This window comes from Homo sapiens, chromosome 1 (genome assembly GCF_000001405.40).
Source record: "Homo sapiens chromosome 1, GRCh38.p14 Primary Assembly".
In the NCBI taxonomy this organism is placed as follows: Eukaryota; Metazoa; Chordata; class Mammalia; order Primates; family Hominidae; genus Homo; species Homo sapiens.
The window spans coordinates 235,480,835-235,498,103 of record NC_000001.11 but is presented as its reverse complement, the minus strand read 5'-3'; the positions used below and the strand labels follow the sequence as shown (position 1 = coordinate 235,498,103).

Sequence of the window (17,269 nt, the reverse complement as noted above, 5' to 3'; positions counted from 1 at the left end):
GTGGTTAAAAAACCTATTTTTCTGACATTTGACTTCAATATATCTTGAAGTAGTTCTCTAAAAGACCACGATATGCCGTGTTACTTTCCCTCTGCAAGAAAAAGAGAAATGCATGTAAAGTAAAGCAGTTGAACAGAAGCAGCTTAGACATGGATTAGAAGCAGGGGGGATTGAGAGTGGCAGAGAGGTGGAATAAGATCAAAAAGAGGTTTCCATCCATAATCCATGGGATTTTCACATGTCACATGGTTATCTTTGTATTTCTTTATTATTTTTAGAAAAATCTTGTTTGACAATTATATGGAGAAGTCAGGTAAAAACCAGTTAGGATGCCCTCGTACTGGTCCAGGTGAAAAAACAGACCGAACTGAGCAGCAGCTAGAATTAATGACAAGAAAGGGATAGATTTGAGAAATTTTCATGAAGATTTTGAGACATCAAGAAAAGATTAAATTATGTTCTATGTAATCTATTTCTAAAAGATTTGCTTTGATTAGCCATCAAAAATAAGGTAGTAAATTATTGGAATTAAAAGTGATGTTTCAAATATTTTGAAAGTTTGCTTTTGTGCAGCATCCTTATTTTCTGATGATGTCAGATAAATGAGGCATTTAGATTAAATGTGATTTTTGCCCTACAGCTTTTAATCTTTTGAGATGAGACTTTGAAACAAATGAAATAGAATATCCAAAATTTTTTTTGTATCAGTTTTCTCTAATTAAGAAGTTGAAGCACAGGGATTTAAATAATTTCTTACTAACGTAATGCAAAATCTTGGCTGTGGAATCAATGTCAGAACTGGCTGGTCACTACCTTTGTTTTGCCTCCTTCCTGACACTAGAATGTACATATTTCTCTGTGAAAAAGGTGGGGAGGCATATTGTCAGTTTTACATAGTCATTTAAATTAGTCTCTGAATTCAGACACTCATTTAGAGTGAGTTCCAGCACTAGGTACAACTTCCATCATATAGTTATGTATCTGAGAAAAAATGTTCTGAGCTATGAGTTAAAAAAAATTGATGTGTTACCCAGCGTATTCAATGATCCGCTTATTGCTAATTCAGTTGAACTGGTATTGTGGATTAAAAGATCAGAATTTAGACTCAGATAAGCTATATTAAGCTGTATAGCTTTAGAATAGAACAGTGATAAAGAATGGTGTTAGATTGCCTGGGATTAAATCTTAGCCCAGCCATTTCCAAGCTGTTTGACTTAAGTTACTGAATTCTTTGGGTGTTTCATTTGTTCAACAAGTACTGGGCCAGGCACGGTGGATCACGCCTGTAATCCCAGCACTTTGGGAGGCCGAGGCGGTGGATCACAAGGTCAAGAGTTCAACACCAGCCTGGCCAAGATGGTGAAACTCCATCTCTACTAAAACTACAAAAATTAGCCAGGCACAGTGACAGGCGCCTATAATCCCAGCTACTCAGGAGGCTGAGGCAGGAGAATCACTTGAACCCGGGCGGCAGAGGTTGCAGTGAGCCGAGATCGCCGCCACTGCACTCCAGACTGGGCCACAGAGTGGGACTCCGTCAAAAAAAAAAAAAAAAAGAAACAAGTACCTACCTCATAGGGTTGTGAACATTAAATGATACTCTATATGTAGTGCTTTTCACAGATTAACTGTTCAATAAATATGGCCTATTAATAAGCTTAATCCATGAAAATTTGAATTTATTTAAAAATAAATTGTCTTTATAAAAGAATTCGTTTTAGTACATGACTCATTGTAGAGTGAAATAATAAATACCTCTATTCCATTTGGAATGGAACTTTTTTTTTTTTTTCAGGTGGAGTCTCACTCTTGTTGCCCAGGCTGGAGTGCAATGGCGCGGTCTCGGCTCACCCCAACCTCCACCTCCCGGGTTCAAGAGATTCTCCTGCCTCAGCCTCCCAAGTAGCTGGGATAACAGGCAAGCACCACCACACCCGGCTAATTTTGTATTTTTAGTAGAGACAGGGTTTCTCCATGTTGGTCAGGCTGGTCTTGAACTCCCGACCTCAGGTGATCCGCCCACCTCGGCCTTCCAAAGTGCTGGGATTACAGGCATGAGCCACCGTGCCTGGCCCAGAATGAAACATTTTAAGAAATATATCTATTGTGGAAAATAAGGTATCTACACAAAAATTTCTGTATTATATCCTTAAAACTATCCTAGTAGAAAGATCTGTTTTTATTATTTTAATTGGGCCTTTGAAGAAAATATCAACCTGGTTTTGTTGTCTTTTAGACTGAATACCTAGATCCCATGGTATATAAAAACATTGCATTTAATATAGTAAAGAGTCTGGGCTTCAATAATTTATTTTTGGAAACGTTTTGGATCAGTTCCCACCACTGGAGAAAGAGATGAAATGGATACCTCATCAGAGCTATATATAAGCTTGTAGCTCTCAAGCCTTAAAACTGGTGATGAAAAACAAGGACAAAGTATATCTTTCTCTTCTGTCTTCTAAGGACAAGTTTTACATGGAAATGTAACCCTGCCCATTAGACCTTCTGACAGTAAAAAATGAGCCGTTCAGAATGACTTACTTTATTATTATTTTTTTTTTTTTTTACTAAAAGTGTTGCTTTCCCGTCATTCTTCAGAATATTTTGTAGGTAGTGAAAGGTTTACTGGCTATAGAATTCATTGATATAAATAAGGGTTGCATTACTTTCCGGTATGGAAGTCCTTCAGCGTCATCCGCCAAACTTAATAACTAACATTAATGTAGGACCTCACTTTTCAAAGCACATTTTTTTTAGTTGCCATTGAATGCCTCATATATGCCTAATACCAAACCAAGAGCTTTATACATGTTATCTCATTTAATTTTTACAACAGCTTTATGAGAAGTATTATTATACCCATTTTGTAGTTGAGGAAACTGAGGCTCAAGAAGCTAAATAACTTATAGTTAATATATGATAGAGCCTGGATTCTAACTGTGGCCTAATTGACTCTTAATGCCTACTATTTTTTTATGCTACGTTGCCTTTTGAAACAGATTCTTACCACATCTTGTTTGTTTTGAAGAATTAGTATACTTACGTGAGCATGAATACATACATATATACGTGAAAGACAAAAATACTCTAAACCAAAATGTTATTAGTGGTTGTCTCTGGATAGTGGGTTCATATGTGATTTAAAAATTCTTTTCTTTGTGTTTATCTGAATTTCCTACAAACATAAGCTTATTTTGTAATAAACTTATGATACATATTGAACTTCATAGTAATTGATACATGACTTATTTCTCATGTATTGTTCTTATTTCTAGATCAGTTGGCCTTATTTCCTCAGTGGAAATCTACTCACTATGATGTGGTAGTTGGCGTGTTGTCAGCTCGCAATAACCATGAACTTCGAAACGTGATAAGAAGCACCTGGATGAGACATTTGCTACAGCATCCCACATTAAGTCAACGGTAGGTTTTCTGAGTTGTTGCCTTGCCTGGTTTATTGAAATAAGAGTTCTGAAAAACCTAGCCAGGCGTGGTGGTGTGTGCCCGTCGTCCCAGCTACCGGGGAGGCTGAGGTGGAAGGATTGCTTGAGCTTGGAAAATTGAGGCTGCAGTGAGCCATGATTGCACCACTGCATTCTAGCCTGCATGATGGGAATGAGTCCCTGCCTAATTTAAAAAAAAAAAAAGTTCTGAAAAACCTTACTTTGAATAGAAATGTTCATTCAGATATGTGGGCTCTTCCTGGGAGAAATGGCTGTTTCATTTGCTTTTCTTCCATATAGTTTGGGCCAAAAAGTAAATTTAACCAACATTTTAAGCCAAATGATAATTGGAAGAGAGTATATTCACTGGTTAACGTGTAGTATTTAGATACCCAGTGTGGTTTGTTTGTTTTTTGCTTTGATTTAGAATAGCAATTCTTAAAAGGTTCTGTTCTAGAGCAGTTCTCTCCTTAGACACATGTGCATGTCTAAATATACTTTTCACTAACTTCACAGAGATAAATTTAATTTTTTTCAGTTTTGTAGTATTTTTTAGTTGTGTAATCTGCAGTATGTGTAATATGCCATGCTCTTTTTCCTGACTACCCTTCTGGAACTGAGCTTTGGTAATCCATTTCATGCTGACATTAGATAGCTCTCAGTTATTAGTTAGGGGCCCAAAGCCTTAGTCTGTTCTCAATGAGATCAACCTCTGAAGATTGTGTAGTGAGGGACTAGGGGAAGAAACGCATAGAAGTTGACTTCTATGTATGTGAAGACTCAGGTGATAAGCAGAGAAGGCCCTTTCAGGATTGAATTGCACTGGCACATTTGTGACTGAGTAGCTATACAAGCAAATTGCAGTTGTGAATTTTTTTTTTTTTTGAGATGGAGTTTTGCTGTCGCTCAAGCTAAAGTGCAGTGGCACGATCTTGGCTCACTGCAACCTCCAATTCCTGGGTTCAAGCGATTCTCCTGCCTCAGCCTCCCAAGTAGCTGGGATTACAGGCACTTGCCACCATGCCCGGCTAATTTTTGTATTTTTAGTAAGGACAGGGTTTCACCATGTTGGCCAGGCTGGTCTCGAACTCCTGACCTCAGGTGATCTGCTTGCCTCGGCCTCCCAAAGTGCTGGGATTACAAGCGTGAGCCACCAAGCCCGGCCTAGTTGTGAATTTTCTTGTCACTAGTAGTGCTTACTCATAGTAGCTTTCATTCCTTTTCAAGACAGGTTTCTTTAGTTCATGGTTGCAATGATAATAGAGCCTATTACACAGCAAATGAAAGACCTCAGAATCATCACTACTATCAGAACCACCTCCAAAAGCTGTACTTCCTGTAGTATTTCCCTGTTAGAAAATAATGACTCCTCCACCAGTTGCTCAGACCAAAACCCTTGGTGTTACCCTGATTTTTCCTTTCACCTGCCACATCCAATCCATCAGCATACCTTCCAGATGCTGCTTAGACCATACCCAGAATCTGACTTCTCACCACCTTTACCACTGCCATCTGATCTAGGCTGCCATTATGTCTCACCTGGATTATTGCAGAAGTCCCCTTCTCTGAACTTACTGCTTCTACCTTTGACCCCCTACATTTTATTTTCCATACAGCAGCCAGAGTGATCCTTTTAAAATTAGTCAAATTATGTCAATTCTCTATTCATACCCCTCCATTGACCTCCTTTCTTGCTCAGAGTGAAACTCCAAGTCTTTGTTGTGGTATTTGACCTTATCTACATCTACTTCCCCTACACTGGCTGCCTTACTGTACTTTCATACACTAAAAGTGCCCCTACCTCAGGGCCTTTGCATTTCCTACGTCCTCTCTCACTAATGTCCTCAGGACTCACTTCCTTCAGGTCTCTGATTAGATGTCACTCTAGCAGACAGCCCCATAGTAAATAGCAGCCCACCCCTATCTTGTTTGTGTCTTCCCTTAGTTGGCTTTAATTTTTTTTTGGTAACACTTATCACCAGCTGGCATCTGTATTGTATTTAGTTGTAAAATTGTTTGTCTTTCTCCACTTGAATGTAGGTTTCATGAGCATTGGGGCTTCAGGTTTTTTCACTGGTGTATTCCCAATACCTAAAACCTAGCTTGGTGCAGACTAAGGCACTCAACAACTATTGAATGAATGACTCAGAACCAAATGTAATGAATATAGTTTATATTCAGACATTTCACCACTAATTTATTTGCCATCATAACAGTCTTGCTTTAAATTTAGCGTGCTTGATTTGTGTTATGAGAATGATCAGCTATCTGTATAAAAATAGATATTAGGCAGAAACACCTTCCTGGGACACAGTAATTTTGTGGATCTAGTAAGAGTACCTAGTAAGATGGCTAAAAAACCAAATTTGGTACATACTTGCAATAATTTAGTTAGCACATTTATTCATTTCTGTTTATACTTTTATTCCAAATGCTAGTTATCTATGAAAGGTATTCTGCCTTAATTGGTAATTAGTAACAGAAACTGCATTTCTGTGGTTATGGCATATTTTCCATTCTTGCATTTCACCAAAGGACCCAAACTCAACACTAAGTACTTCTGTAAGCAAATAATGTAGTATGTGTGGTAGAATACAGAGATAAATAGAGTGTTAGGAGGGGCTTGACATTTAGTAGAAGGAAATAGGTGTAATCGTATAATAAAATGTTGTATGTGCTGTGATATAAATAGATATAAAATAGCCCGGGGTGTTTGAGAAACTCCTAACACTTCTATATAACTTGAGCACAGGGCTTGTGGTGGTGGGGGAAGGGTTGTGGCACAGTGTGAGAGAAACAGCCAGGAGAGGTAGGAGAGTAGAGAGGTGTATATAAAGAAAAGAGGGGGGAAGCATATGACTGTGAGAGGCAGACAGTGAGCAGATCACATGTAACAGGCATGTGGAGGGTTGAGTGGAAGGACGAGACCTGTTGTGGCAAGGACTGCTGAGGGGCTGATCTACAGAGATCAGAGGGGTGACCTTGTGAGAGAATAAGGTCATTGAATGTAGAAAATGGAGGAGGAGGCTAGGAAGATTGCTAGTGTTCTGACTTGGAGAATAGTGGAATCATCAATCAAAACAAAAATACTAAAAGAGAAGAGCAGGTTTCATGGGAAAGAAGCTCAGTTGTGTATATGTTGACCTTGAGGTTCCTACAGGCAGTAGTGTACTGATAAAGGTTTACTAACTGGCTCTCTGGGAAAAATGATGCTTATATGTACATACATGTTTATTATAAATTTTATTGACATAAAGTATATACAGCCTGTAATTGACAGATAATAACCTATACAATACTGTTTATCGTAAATTCCATGAAACCAGTTGATTCTCATAGAACGCTTTTGTTGTTTGTCAGACTCTCCTATCTATGACCAACTTATGGTTGCAGTTAACAAAAGAGTGTAGTTGTGACAAAAGTCTTTCTTTTAAGTTAAACAGTGAGGTGAGGACTAAAGTGACAACTAAGATATGTCAGCTTTACACTTAATAAAGTCAGTGACTTCTATGCTGTATCAGGTAATAGTTTTGGAACACTGGAATCGTATCTTCCTTGACTTTTTTTTTTTTTTTTAACTATTCACTCTGTAGTGGCTATAGATAGACACATCACATTAAGCTTAATTTGCATTATCAACATTTTCTCTATACTTTCTTAAGTCTAGACAGTCAACAAAACAATAAACCAAACCCTTATTTGTATTATTTGCCAGTTTCTAGGGTGTGAATATTTCCACTATGGCCAATTCAAGTGACTAATGTGACATCACTGAACACAGAGTGGGGGAAAGATAAGCAGTAGCATGCCATATATACTATTTCCACCATGTAGATGTAATAAATATAAATGATCTCAAGAACATAATAGTAAAATGTAGTAAAACATTAAGTGATTAATTTGAGTATTTCCTTTGATTTTAATATATATTATAAGATTATATAATTTAATTTTAAATAAAGGCTATGTTTAATAACCGTCTCACAAAATTTCTGAAAAGTTGACAGTTGGCTCCCAGAAGCCAGTAGTAGCAGGCTTTAGCACACAGCTGTCTGTGGGTTATCTGGGTGAAGATGTCCAGTGAATTTACAGGTCCTTTACATGGGTCTAAACTAGAGTTACTAATTCAGGTCCGGACACAGTGGCTCACACCTGTAATCCCAGCACTTTGGGAGGCCAAGGCAGGCAGATCACTTGACGCCAAGAGTTCGAGACCAGCCTGGCCAACATGGTGAAATCCCGTCTCTACTAAAAATACAAAAATTAGCCAGGCGTGGTGGCACACGCCTGTAATCCCAGCCACTTAGGAGGCTGAGGCAGGAGAATCACTTGAACCTGAAAGGTGGAGACTGCAAAGAGCCAAGATTACACTGTTGTATTCCAGCCTGGGTGACAGAGCGAGACTCTGTCTCAAAAAAAAAGAAAACAACTAGAGTTACTAATTCAGGAATCATTCCCATGCTATTTGAAGCCATGAGAATAAATAATATTGTTTAGGGAGAGGAAGTAAAAAAAATGAGTAGATTGAGAAAAGACCCAAAGGCAGAGCCCTAGACTAATACCACTCTCAGTGGACAAGCTGGGGAACAAGAGGCAGTGAAGATGACTGAGCAGGCCACAGAAGGAAGGGAAGAGAGCATTTTAGGGAGCTGGGCAGTATTAAGCCGTAGAGAAACCAGGAAGGTAAGAGTTCAAGAGTGTCTATTGATTTAGCAGCAGCTCATTGGTTACATTAGTGGAATCTCAGTGGAGGTGGTGATATTAAAGCTAAAACTCTTGTTTTATAAAATGAGTGGGAAGTAAGAAACAGGCTGCAGTTTTAATTTCTTTGTAGGACCTCAGTGTAAAGTGTGGTGGCAAGGAAGGATGGAAGGTGAAGAGAATAATTAGAGTCAGGACTTTATCATGTTTGTAATGTGGAGGGAAGGAGTCACTAGTTACAGGGGTAACCAGTGAAGCAAGGTCTAGGAGAGAAGGGGATTTCCTCTTGGATGGAAAGACCTAATCTTGAGCAAAAGGAACACTTTCTGAAATAGAAGAAGGCAGCAAAGGAAAATTTTAGATATAGATATGTTTTTAGGTATGGGCATGAGAACTGACTTTACTATAGTTTGCTTTTAAATGATATGAACATTTGCTTGTAGCGAGGCCAGACATATTCATACTTGCTTTAATATAGCATTGCAATAAGGACTCATGCATAAGTAACTTGGTAGTTAGCAACTTTCAGTTTACTTGTTCCCCCATTTTGTCTGACTAGAAGAATAAAGGTAGAGAATTAATCCTCATAAACACTTGTGTCTCAAAGTAAAAGCTCTGAAATGGGCATGAGGAAACGTGCATGTGCGAGGTGAAGATCAGTAACTGATGTTAATGCCAACACATCTCTCAGTGTGCTTGTGAAGTTCATAATAGGTGCTCATGGCTGTGAAGTGCCTGTGGAAGACAGGGAGGATCCTTATTCCTGTAAACTACTCAACATCACAAATCCAGGTAAGTCATCTTTTCCCTTGACTGCCATACACAAGCTTGATGTTGAGTAAAAGTTGCTAAGCTTAATAGTATGGAGTCTGTTTTTATTTTTTATTATTTTATTTTATTATGTGTTTTAGAGACAGGGTCTTGCTCTGTCGCCTAGGCTGGCGTGCAGTGGCATAGTCATGGCTCACTATAACCTCAAACTCCGGGGCTCAAGCGATCCTCCTACCTCACCACCCTGCTAGGACTACAGGCACATGCCACGAAAACTGGCTAATTTTTTAAATTTTTTGTAGAGTTGAGGTCTCGCTGTCTTGTCTGGGCTGATCTTGAATTCTTACCCTCAAGGGATCCACCAGCCTCAGCATCCCAAAGCACTGGGATTGCAGGCATGAGCCACCATGCCCTGGAGTCTGTTTTTAATAGACTAAAATGTCTTTCATCCAAATTTATGTCTCATCTTTTTTTTTTTTTTTTTTTTTTTTTTTTTGGAGATGGAGTCTTGCTCTGTTGTCCAGGCTGGAGTGCAGTGGTGCTATCTCAGCTCACTGGCTCACTGCAACCTCCGCCTCCTAGGTTCAAGAAATTCTCCTGCCTCAGCCTCTCTTAAGTAGATGGGATTACAGGCTACCACCACTGCGCCTGGCTAATTTGTGTATTTTTAGTAGAGATGGGGTTTCACTGTGTTGGTCAGGCTGGCCTCGAACTCCTGACCTTGTGATCCACCTGCCTCAGCCTCCCAAAGTGCTGAGATTACAGGCATGAGCCACCATACCCAGCCTATTTCATCATTTTTGACAGATTGCCTTGGGGTACCTGTAGAGATTCTTTACAGAATTGGAACTTTAGGATCCAGGAGACTTTATTTTTCAGTGTGATTCATACGCGTTTGGAAGTTCCTTATGCTTAGATAAATCCTGAATTACCAAATTTTGAACTTTTGGAAAACTGCTGATTTTACCAGTTAATTTATAATAATCTTGAAGAAACAAATATTATGAATCAACTTTCTCTTAGAATTATTGTCTAATTTATTTCTGTAAAAGAAAAAATAGTAAAAAATGTAAGACACAAGTAACATTATTTATGCCTTAAAATTAAAAGTTTGTAAAAATTCTGGTGAGGATAAAGAAAGCTGCTCCAGCACTTTGGGACACCACGGTGGGAGGAGGAGCACAAAACCAGCCTGGGCAACATAGTGAGCTCCCATGTCTGAAAAAAAAAACATTAGCCAAGTATTGTGGCTCATGCCTGTAGTTCCAGCTGCTTGGGAGGCTGAGGTAGGAGGACTGCTTGGGTCCAGCAGTTCGAGGCTGCAGTAAGCTATGATCTGCTTCCGCTACTGCACTCCAGCCTGGGTGACAGAGCGAGACCCTGTCTCAAAAACAAAGACAACGAAAGAAAGCTGATCCTAACTAGGTTCTCTGTGTCACCAGGGAACCAATTTTAGGAAGTTGATAAGTTTTTAACTGTCTGTGTTTATTAGCAATTCCCATTATGTTCAGCTGTGTTTCTAAGGGAGGTTATACTTCCAAGTCTTAAATATGCTGATTAGGACTTCTGGTATTTTAAGGTTTGTTAAAACTGTATAATTAAGTAACACCTCACTTTTATAAGCAGTCTCCATGGCTCTCAATCCAAGCTTTGCCATTTTCTAGCTGTGTGACCTCCTCTGCCTCAGTTTTATCATCTGTAAACTTGGGATAAAAGAATCTCCCTCATGGGGATTGACATAAGGATGAAATAAGTTGATACATATGATGTATTTAGAATAATAGTTCCTAGAAGGTGGAAGGTACTGAACATTATTTTAAAGAGCCTGCTATTTTATAAAGCTGGGTTTCAAACAGCTTTTTAAATAAATTGGACAATATATTCAGGTCTGTATTACAAAATAGAGGTTTCTTACTTAGGATGTCTGTGAATTCAGTTAACATTGTAAGCAAATTTTATGTATGAATTGTGTGCTGGGGAGAAAGTCCTTTGGCTTTCACTGGAGTCTTGTCTTTTTTTTTTTTTTGGAGACAGAGTTTCGCTCTTGTCACCCAGACTGGAGTGCAATGGCGCGATCTCGGCTCACTGCAACCTCCACCTCCCAGGTTCAAGCGATTCTCCTGCCTTAGTCTCCCGAGTAGCTAGAATTACAGGTGCCCGCCACCACGCCTGACTTATTTTTAGTAGAGATGGGGTTTCACCACATTGGCCAGGCTAGTCTCAAACTCCTGACCTCACGTGATCCACCCCCCTCAGCCTCCCAAAGTGCTGGGATTATAGGCGTGAGCCACCACGCCTGGCCTCACTGGAGTCTTAAAGGGATCATAAACCCCATAGAATGTTATGTCACTGATGTGGTATCCACTGATGTATCCTCCAACAAATTACAATTGAAAACCAAACCAAAACAAAAAGAAGCCCTTCACTTTTAAATTAACCATATTTTTATTATCTTAAGTGCTGTTATTTATTAAAAGTAAAGAAGTAGAACTTTATGTTAAAAGAACATTTTCATATATGTAATACCTAGGTTATGAATTTTTAAATGCGTATATAACTAAGTTAATATTGAACCTAATCTTATCTTTTCGATGATCCAAAGGCAGTTATGGTTATTTCAGTACCTGAAGGTCATGGTAAGCATTAATCATCGTGATACTGTGGCTGTGGTAGAAGGTTTAATAGCACTGTAATGCAACGGGATTTCCTGTGTCCACGTAACTTGAAGCTCAAGGCACAATTCTTTTAGATAAGAAAATATCTAAAAATGCTATATTATAATTGACTTATTGCTTTTAATAAAGAGGTTTCTACTATGGATATCTGTTATTTACTGAATATCTTAAAGAGAAAAAATTGTATTGTTGTCCATTATGTTGTAGTCTAGACTCTCCAGTTAGTGCTTGCCCAGCCCATGACAAAAAACTGTATTCTCCCTTTTTTCCCTCCTGTTCATGTCTATAATTAGGTAGGAGTCATCACTTCCCTTTAATCCCATTTTACTGAATATCTACTGAGTGTAAAGAGCTTCTAGGAAGTCTGACGTGGGCAACCAAATGACCTAGAGTATAGGAAGAAAATGTAATTTCTTTTTTTTTGAGACAGGGTCTTGCTCTGTTGCCCAGGCTGCACTGCAGTGGCACAATCTCAGGTCACTGCAGCCTCTTCCTCCCAGGCTCAAGCAATTCTCGTGCCTCAGCCTCCCAAGTAGGTGGGATTACAGGTGTGTGCCACCACGCCCAGCTAATTTTTGTATCGTAGAGACAGAGTTTCACCATGTTGCCCAGGCTTAGAATTTCTATTTATCTGAAAATAAGAAAATACAATCTTTATTAATACTGAATATATAGACTCACCACAATATATGCATATATTTTGTAAGTAAATAGGTGTGTGTACAAATATTTTTAACTGATGGTGTTGTGTAGTCAGCAAAATTTGAAAACCACAGCTCTAAAAGATACAAAGAACTTTGATATAATCTTTTAAAATAGGGTTTTATATTATTAAAGTAGCACTGATATTCCCTGCCTATGAACTGCTTTATTTAATGTATTCTGATTCATTTATGGTAATTAGAAAATTTATTTGAAGGCTGGGCACAGTGGCTCATGCCTGTAATCCCAGCACTTTGGGAGGCTGAGGCGGGAGGATTGCAGTTCAAGACCAGCCTGGGTAACATGATGAGACCCCCATCTCTACAAAAAATTAGCAAGGCCTGGTGGTGTGTGCCTGCGGTCCCAGCTACTCAGGAGGCTGAGGCAGGAGGATCCCTTGAGCAAAGGAGGTTGAGACTGCAATAAGCCATGTTCATGCCACTGCACTGCAGCCTGGGTGACTGGGTGACTGTCTCAAAAAAAGAAATAAAAGAAAAATTATTTGAACTGTTTTGGCACTGATTAGACAGCTGTGAGGGAGTGGAAAGGGGACTGACTTTGGAATCACTAAATGGGACTTGATTCCTGGATCTGCCACTTTCTATGACCTTAGGTGAATTGCTTAATTTTGGGCCTCAGTTTCTTAATATGTAAACTGGAGATAATGCCACAACCACAAGGGTAGTAGTGAAGATATAAATGTGATGGGAAATGGTACATAGAAGATGGTTCAAAACTGTGTTTGATATGCTTATCTTTTATCAGTGCTGTACAGCAAGAGTTTTTCAGTGTTATTTGAAGTGACTTCAGTTGCTTATTTATACCGTAATAATTGCCTGATGTATCACAAGTATTTTAAATTGCCTAACAAGAAGTAGGATTTTTGGAATTTGCACAGTAAGACCAAATTTACTGATTATTTATGACTACAGTCAGTACTGTTTTTCTTATTTCTATTTATCCAACCCTTCCAAATAGATGCCTTCCAGTTGACTTAAATTTAATATCTCCTGTGGCGTTTATACATATATATGCACACATTTATGCAAAAAGCTATTAAAGCAGTTCTGATAATTAACTTACTTAGATGTGGCTGAAAACTTTATTCTTAAATTTCAAAAATGTTTATATAGAAGCAGCCATTTTTCTCAAGCATTTTTTAAAAATTCCTGCCATTTGTGAATTATATAGCAAATGATTACCTAGGTTTTGGCATTAAGCCCACTTCACTACTTCTTACTAGTAAAACAAAGGATTACATTTGTTCAGTTATATAAACCTGTTCTCATTACTTAGTTTTGAATCAGGAAATTGAAGCGTTCAGTCTGTCCGAAGACACTTCATCGGGGCTGCCTGAGGATCGAGTTGTCAGCGTGAGTTTCCGAGTTCTCTACCCCATCGTTATTACCAGTCTTGGAGTGTTCTACGATGCCAATGATGTGGGTTTCCAGAGGAACATCACTGTCAAACTTTATCAGGCAGAACAAGAGGTATGCACTGCTCTGTACAGGTTTTTTCTCTTTTTTCTTTTTCAAAAACATCAACTTTTCCTTGTGACATACAGTAAGTAGATTGGAAGACTATATAATTCTCTCTGGTTGAGAGACTTTCACCTTTCTTCCCCTATTGACTAAATACACTGTAGTGTGATATAAGACTGGTTTGGGGATAGATTATCTGTGAATAAATGTGCTATATCTAGAAGAGAAGGAGTTGACTAGATTAGAAATCTCCAACCTAAAATTCCCTAAAACCTAGGGAATTTCAAAAGTTGGTAATGGATATAAAAAAAGTTTAGGATTCTTAGGATAAGTGAGTATTATTGCCTCTTACTTCCAACTGTAGAAGTCTGTAATACAAGGCTAATAACTGCTTCAAATCTTTTTTGTAATAAGGATATAGAGGGAATAAAAGTTATTCTTTTACAGAAAACAGAAAACCAGTGAGGTTTCTCTATTCCCGATATGTAGGGAAATCTGATTTGTTCACAGAGTGCATGTGAAGTAGCAGCATGGAAATGTATTTGAAGGATCTGTTTTTTAGTTTTAAACATGAAGAAAACTTGAAGGAATTATTCAGTAAACCCTATAGCCACTAACTACATTCTACAACAATTAACGTTTTCCTGTATTTGGTTTATTACTCCTAAGTAGCTGGGATTCTAGGTGCATGCCACCACACCTGGCTAATTTTTGTATTTTTAGTAAAGATGGGATTTTGCCATGTGGGCTAGGCTGGTGTCAAACTCCTGACCTCAAGTGATCTGCCCTTCTCGGCCTCCCAGAGTGCTGCCTCAGCCTCCCAAGTAGCCTCCCAAAGTGCTGGGATTACAGGCGTGAGGCACCGCACCAGGCCTGGTGTGCTTTTTCTTTGTCTGTTTTATTCAGGGCGTGCTACATGTTTCTTCAATCTGTAAATGTATGTATTTTACCAAATTTGGGGGATTTTCAACTATTAATGTCTTCAGAACCTTTTCTGACTTCGCTCGCTCTCTCTATTCCTCCTGGGATTCCAGTTACATGTATGTTAGATCTTTTGGTATTGTCCTGCAGATCACAAGACTGTTCATTTTTTTCAGTGTTTTTTCTCTTTTCTAATGTAGATAACTTCTGTTCATCTGTATTCAAGTTTAGTGACTCTTCTGTCATCTCAAATCTGAAGTTAAGCCTATCCAATGAATTTTTTATTTTAGATTTATTTTAAATATTATACTTTTTAGTGCTTCAGTTTCCATTTAGTTCTTTTTTACTGTTTCTATTTCTCTAAAATTTCCTATGTGTTCATTGTTTGAGAATATTTTTCTCTACAGCTTTGACCATAGTTATAACAGCAGCTTTAAAATCTGTGTACGCTTATTCTGAGTCATCTCAGCGTCTGTCTTTATTGATTATTATCTTTCCTCTAAAATATGGGTAACATTTTTCTGTTTTATGTCTAGTATTTTGGGGGGTTTTTTGGTTTGGGTTTCGGTTTTTTTGTTGTTGTTTGACAGGGTCTCGCTCTTTTACCTGAGCTGGAGTGCAGTGGCACAGTCGTGGTTCACTGCAGCCTTAAACTCCTGGGCTCAAGCTATCCGCCCATCTCAGCCTCTTGAGTAGCTGGGACTACATGCTACTCATGCATTGTATCCTAGATATTGTAAATAATTCATTGTAGGAACTCTGGATCCTATTATATTCCTCAGAGTATTGATTTTTTTTTTTTGTTTTAGCAGGCAGCTAAATTGGCTGGACACAGACTAAACATTGTCTCACTTGCAGTGAGAAACAGCTAAAATCTCTATTCAGTTTCTCTGGCCTTGGATGGGCTACTTGGGTTCTGCCTTGTATGTGTATTTCATGAGTCAGCCACAGATTTGGGTAGAGTTTATATGAAGAATTTGTGGTTCTCTCTCTCTGTGATCCTTTCCTTTCTGGGAGGTTCCCCCTAATGCCTTTTATTAATTGATGTGTTTGCCCCAACTCTGTCCTCTTAATTTTCAAGCAGAAAGACTACAGATTTTCATTCAAATTTCTAGTTACCCTAGAGTTGTATCCTCAGACAAAGAGTCAAGAAGTGGGGTAGGGAGGAGATGCATATTTGGAGCCTTTTCCTTCTTCCAAGTACTGATTCTTCTCTAGTTTCTGCCTGTTTGTTTGAATTCCAGTGCCTTCAAATCATTGTTTTTTATGTTTCATCCAGAGTTCATAGTTACTATCTATAGGAGAATTGGTCTGATATTACTGGCAGCAGAACTCTGTTCAGTTTTTTAAAATGTGTTTGTATTATTAATGTTGATTATTAGCAATGAATATAATGTTAGAGACTCATCAATAAATACACAAATAAATTTGAGATTAAATTTCTTTTTTGGAATTTGCCCTGTTCTTCCTCTAAATAATCTGTCTCGTTTGTTGATGTGTTTATAGACATAAATATAAGACAGAGGGAAGAGTAGGATTTCTACTGATGATGCCAGCTATAATGATTAGTGAGAAGAGCTTTGTATACTCAACTATAGGAGTCCATATATGATTGTAGTTAACAGTTTCATTGATACTGAAGATCAAATAGGTAATTGAAATAGCAGTACTCTGAGTATCACTGTTATCTAGAAATTAGAATTAATCTTGAATTTTTTTGATACACTTGTTTATCTTAGTATATATAGTTTAAAAAAAAAACTATCAGCCAGGCGCAATGGCTCACGCCTGTAATCCCAGCATTTTGGGAGGGCAAGGCAGATGGATTGCTTCAGCCCAGGAGTTAGAGACCAGCCTAGGCAATACAGTGAGACCCCATCTCTACAAAAAATTAAGAAAATAGGCAGGCATGGTAGCATTTGCTTACAGTCCCAGCTACTTGGTAGGTTGAGGTGGGAGGATCACTTGAGCCCAGGAGGTCGAGGCTGCATTACAGTGAGCCGTGATTGCACCACTCACTCCAGCCTAGGTGACAGAGTGAGACTGTCTCAAAAAACAAAACTATTTATAGTGTGCGAGTTATCAATCAAGTAGTTTGGTTCAGACATACAATATTTTGATCATGTCGATATAACTTCTAGTTGCCATATTTTTAACCAGGGAGGAGTTAATCTTTGTCCTCAAGGAAGGACTAGTCTAAGATGGATGCTAATGGGTTCATGGGTAGTCACGATGCAAAAACTATTCTTATACTGCATTGCTAAGAACTGGTGTTCATGAAAGAAATAGACATAATCCATTGAAATGTGCTTAATTTTGAACCCCTGCATGGTTTTAAGAGCTTAACAGAAGTTTCCCCTATGGTTAAGTTGGTATATAAGAATAGGCATGAGAATGAGGAAATGTTGCCTGGAAGAAATGGGAGAACCCAAGAAAACGATAGACATAGTGAAAATCAGTCCGGTTTTTTTTTTTTTTTTTTTTTTTTTTTTTTTTTTTTTTTTGAGACAGAGTCTGGCTCTGCGGTCCAGGCTGGAGTGCAGTGGTGCAGTCTTGGCTCACTGCAGCCTCCACC

General features: G+C 38.5%; 1 protein-coding gene across 8 annotated transcripts in view, besides 1 other annotated feature; it reads left to right on the top strand.

Annotated features, from left to right (window-relative positions):
* The window catches only part of B3GALNT2 (beta-1,3-N-acetylgalactosaminyltransferase 2), a 64,657-nt gene that overhangs the window by 6,349 nt on the left and 41,039 nt on the right, over positions 1-17,269 (top strand). For 5 of the 8 annotated variants that reach the window (XM_017000394.2, XM_047447004.1, XM_047447002.1 and 2 more), the window contains exons 2-5: positions 1,796-1,918; positions 3,276-3,423; positions 8,836-8,936; positions 13,589-13,782. In XM_017000394.2, the coding sequence (XP_016855883.1) occupies positions 1,796-1,918; positions 3,276-3,423; positions 8,836-8,936; positions 13,589-13,782 (566 nt within the window). The remainder of the gene's footprint in view (positions 1-1,795; positions 1,919-3,275; positions 3,424-8,835; positions 8,937-13,588; positions 13,783-17,269) is intronic. The other 3 variants (XM_006711749.4, NM_152490.5, XM_047447005.1) reach the window with 1 other exon arrangement.
* Positions 6,536-6,736: a silencer, noted in NCBI's record as "peak774 fragment used in MPRA reporter construct". NCBI's record gives its function as "represses an SCP1 promoter by STARR-seq MPRAs in K562 erythroleukemia cells {active_cell/tissue: K562}" and the evidence as "EXISTENCE:reporter gene assay evidence [ECO:0000049][PMID:32103011]".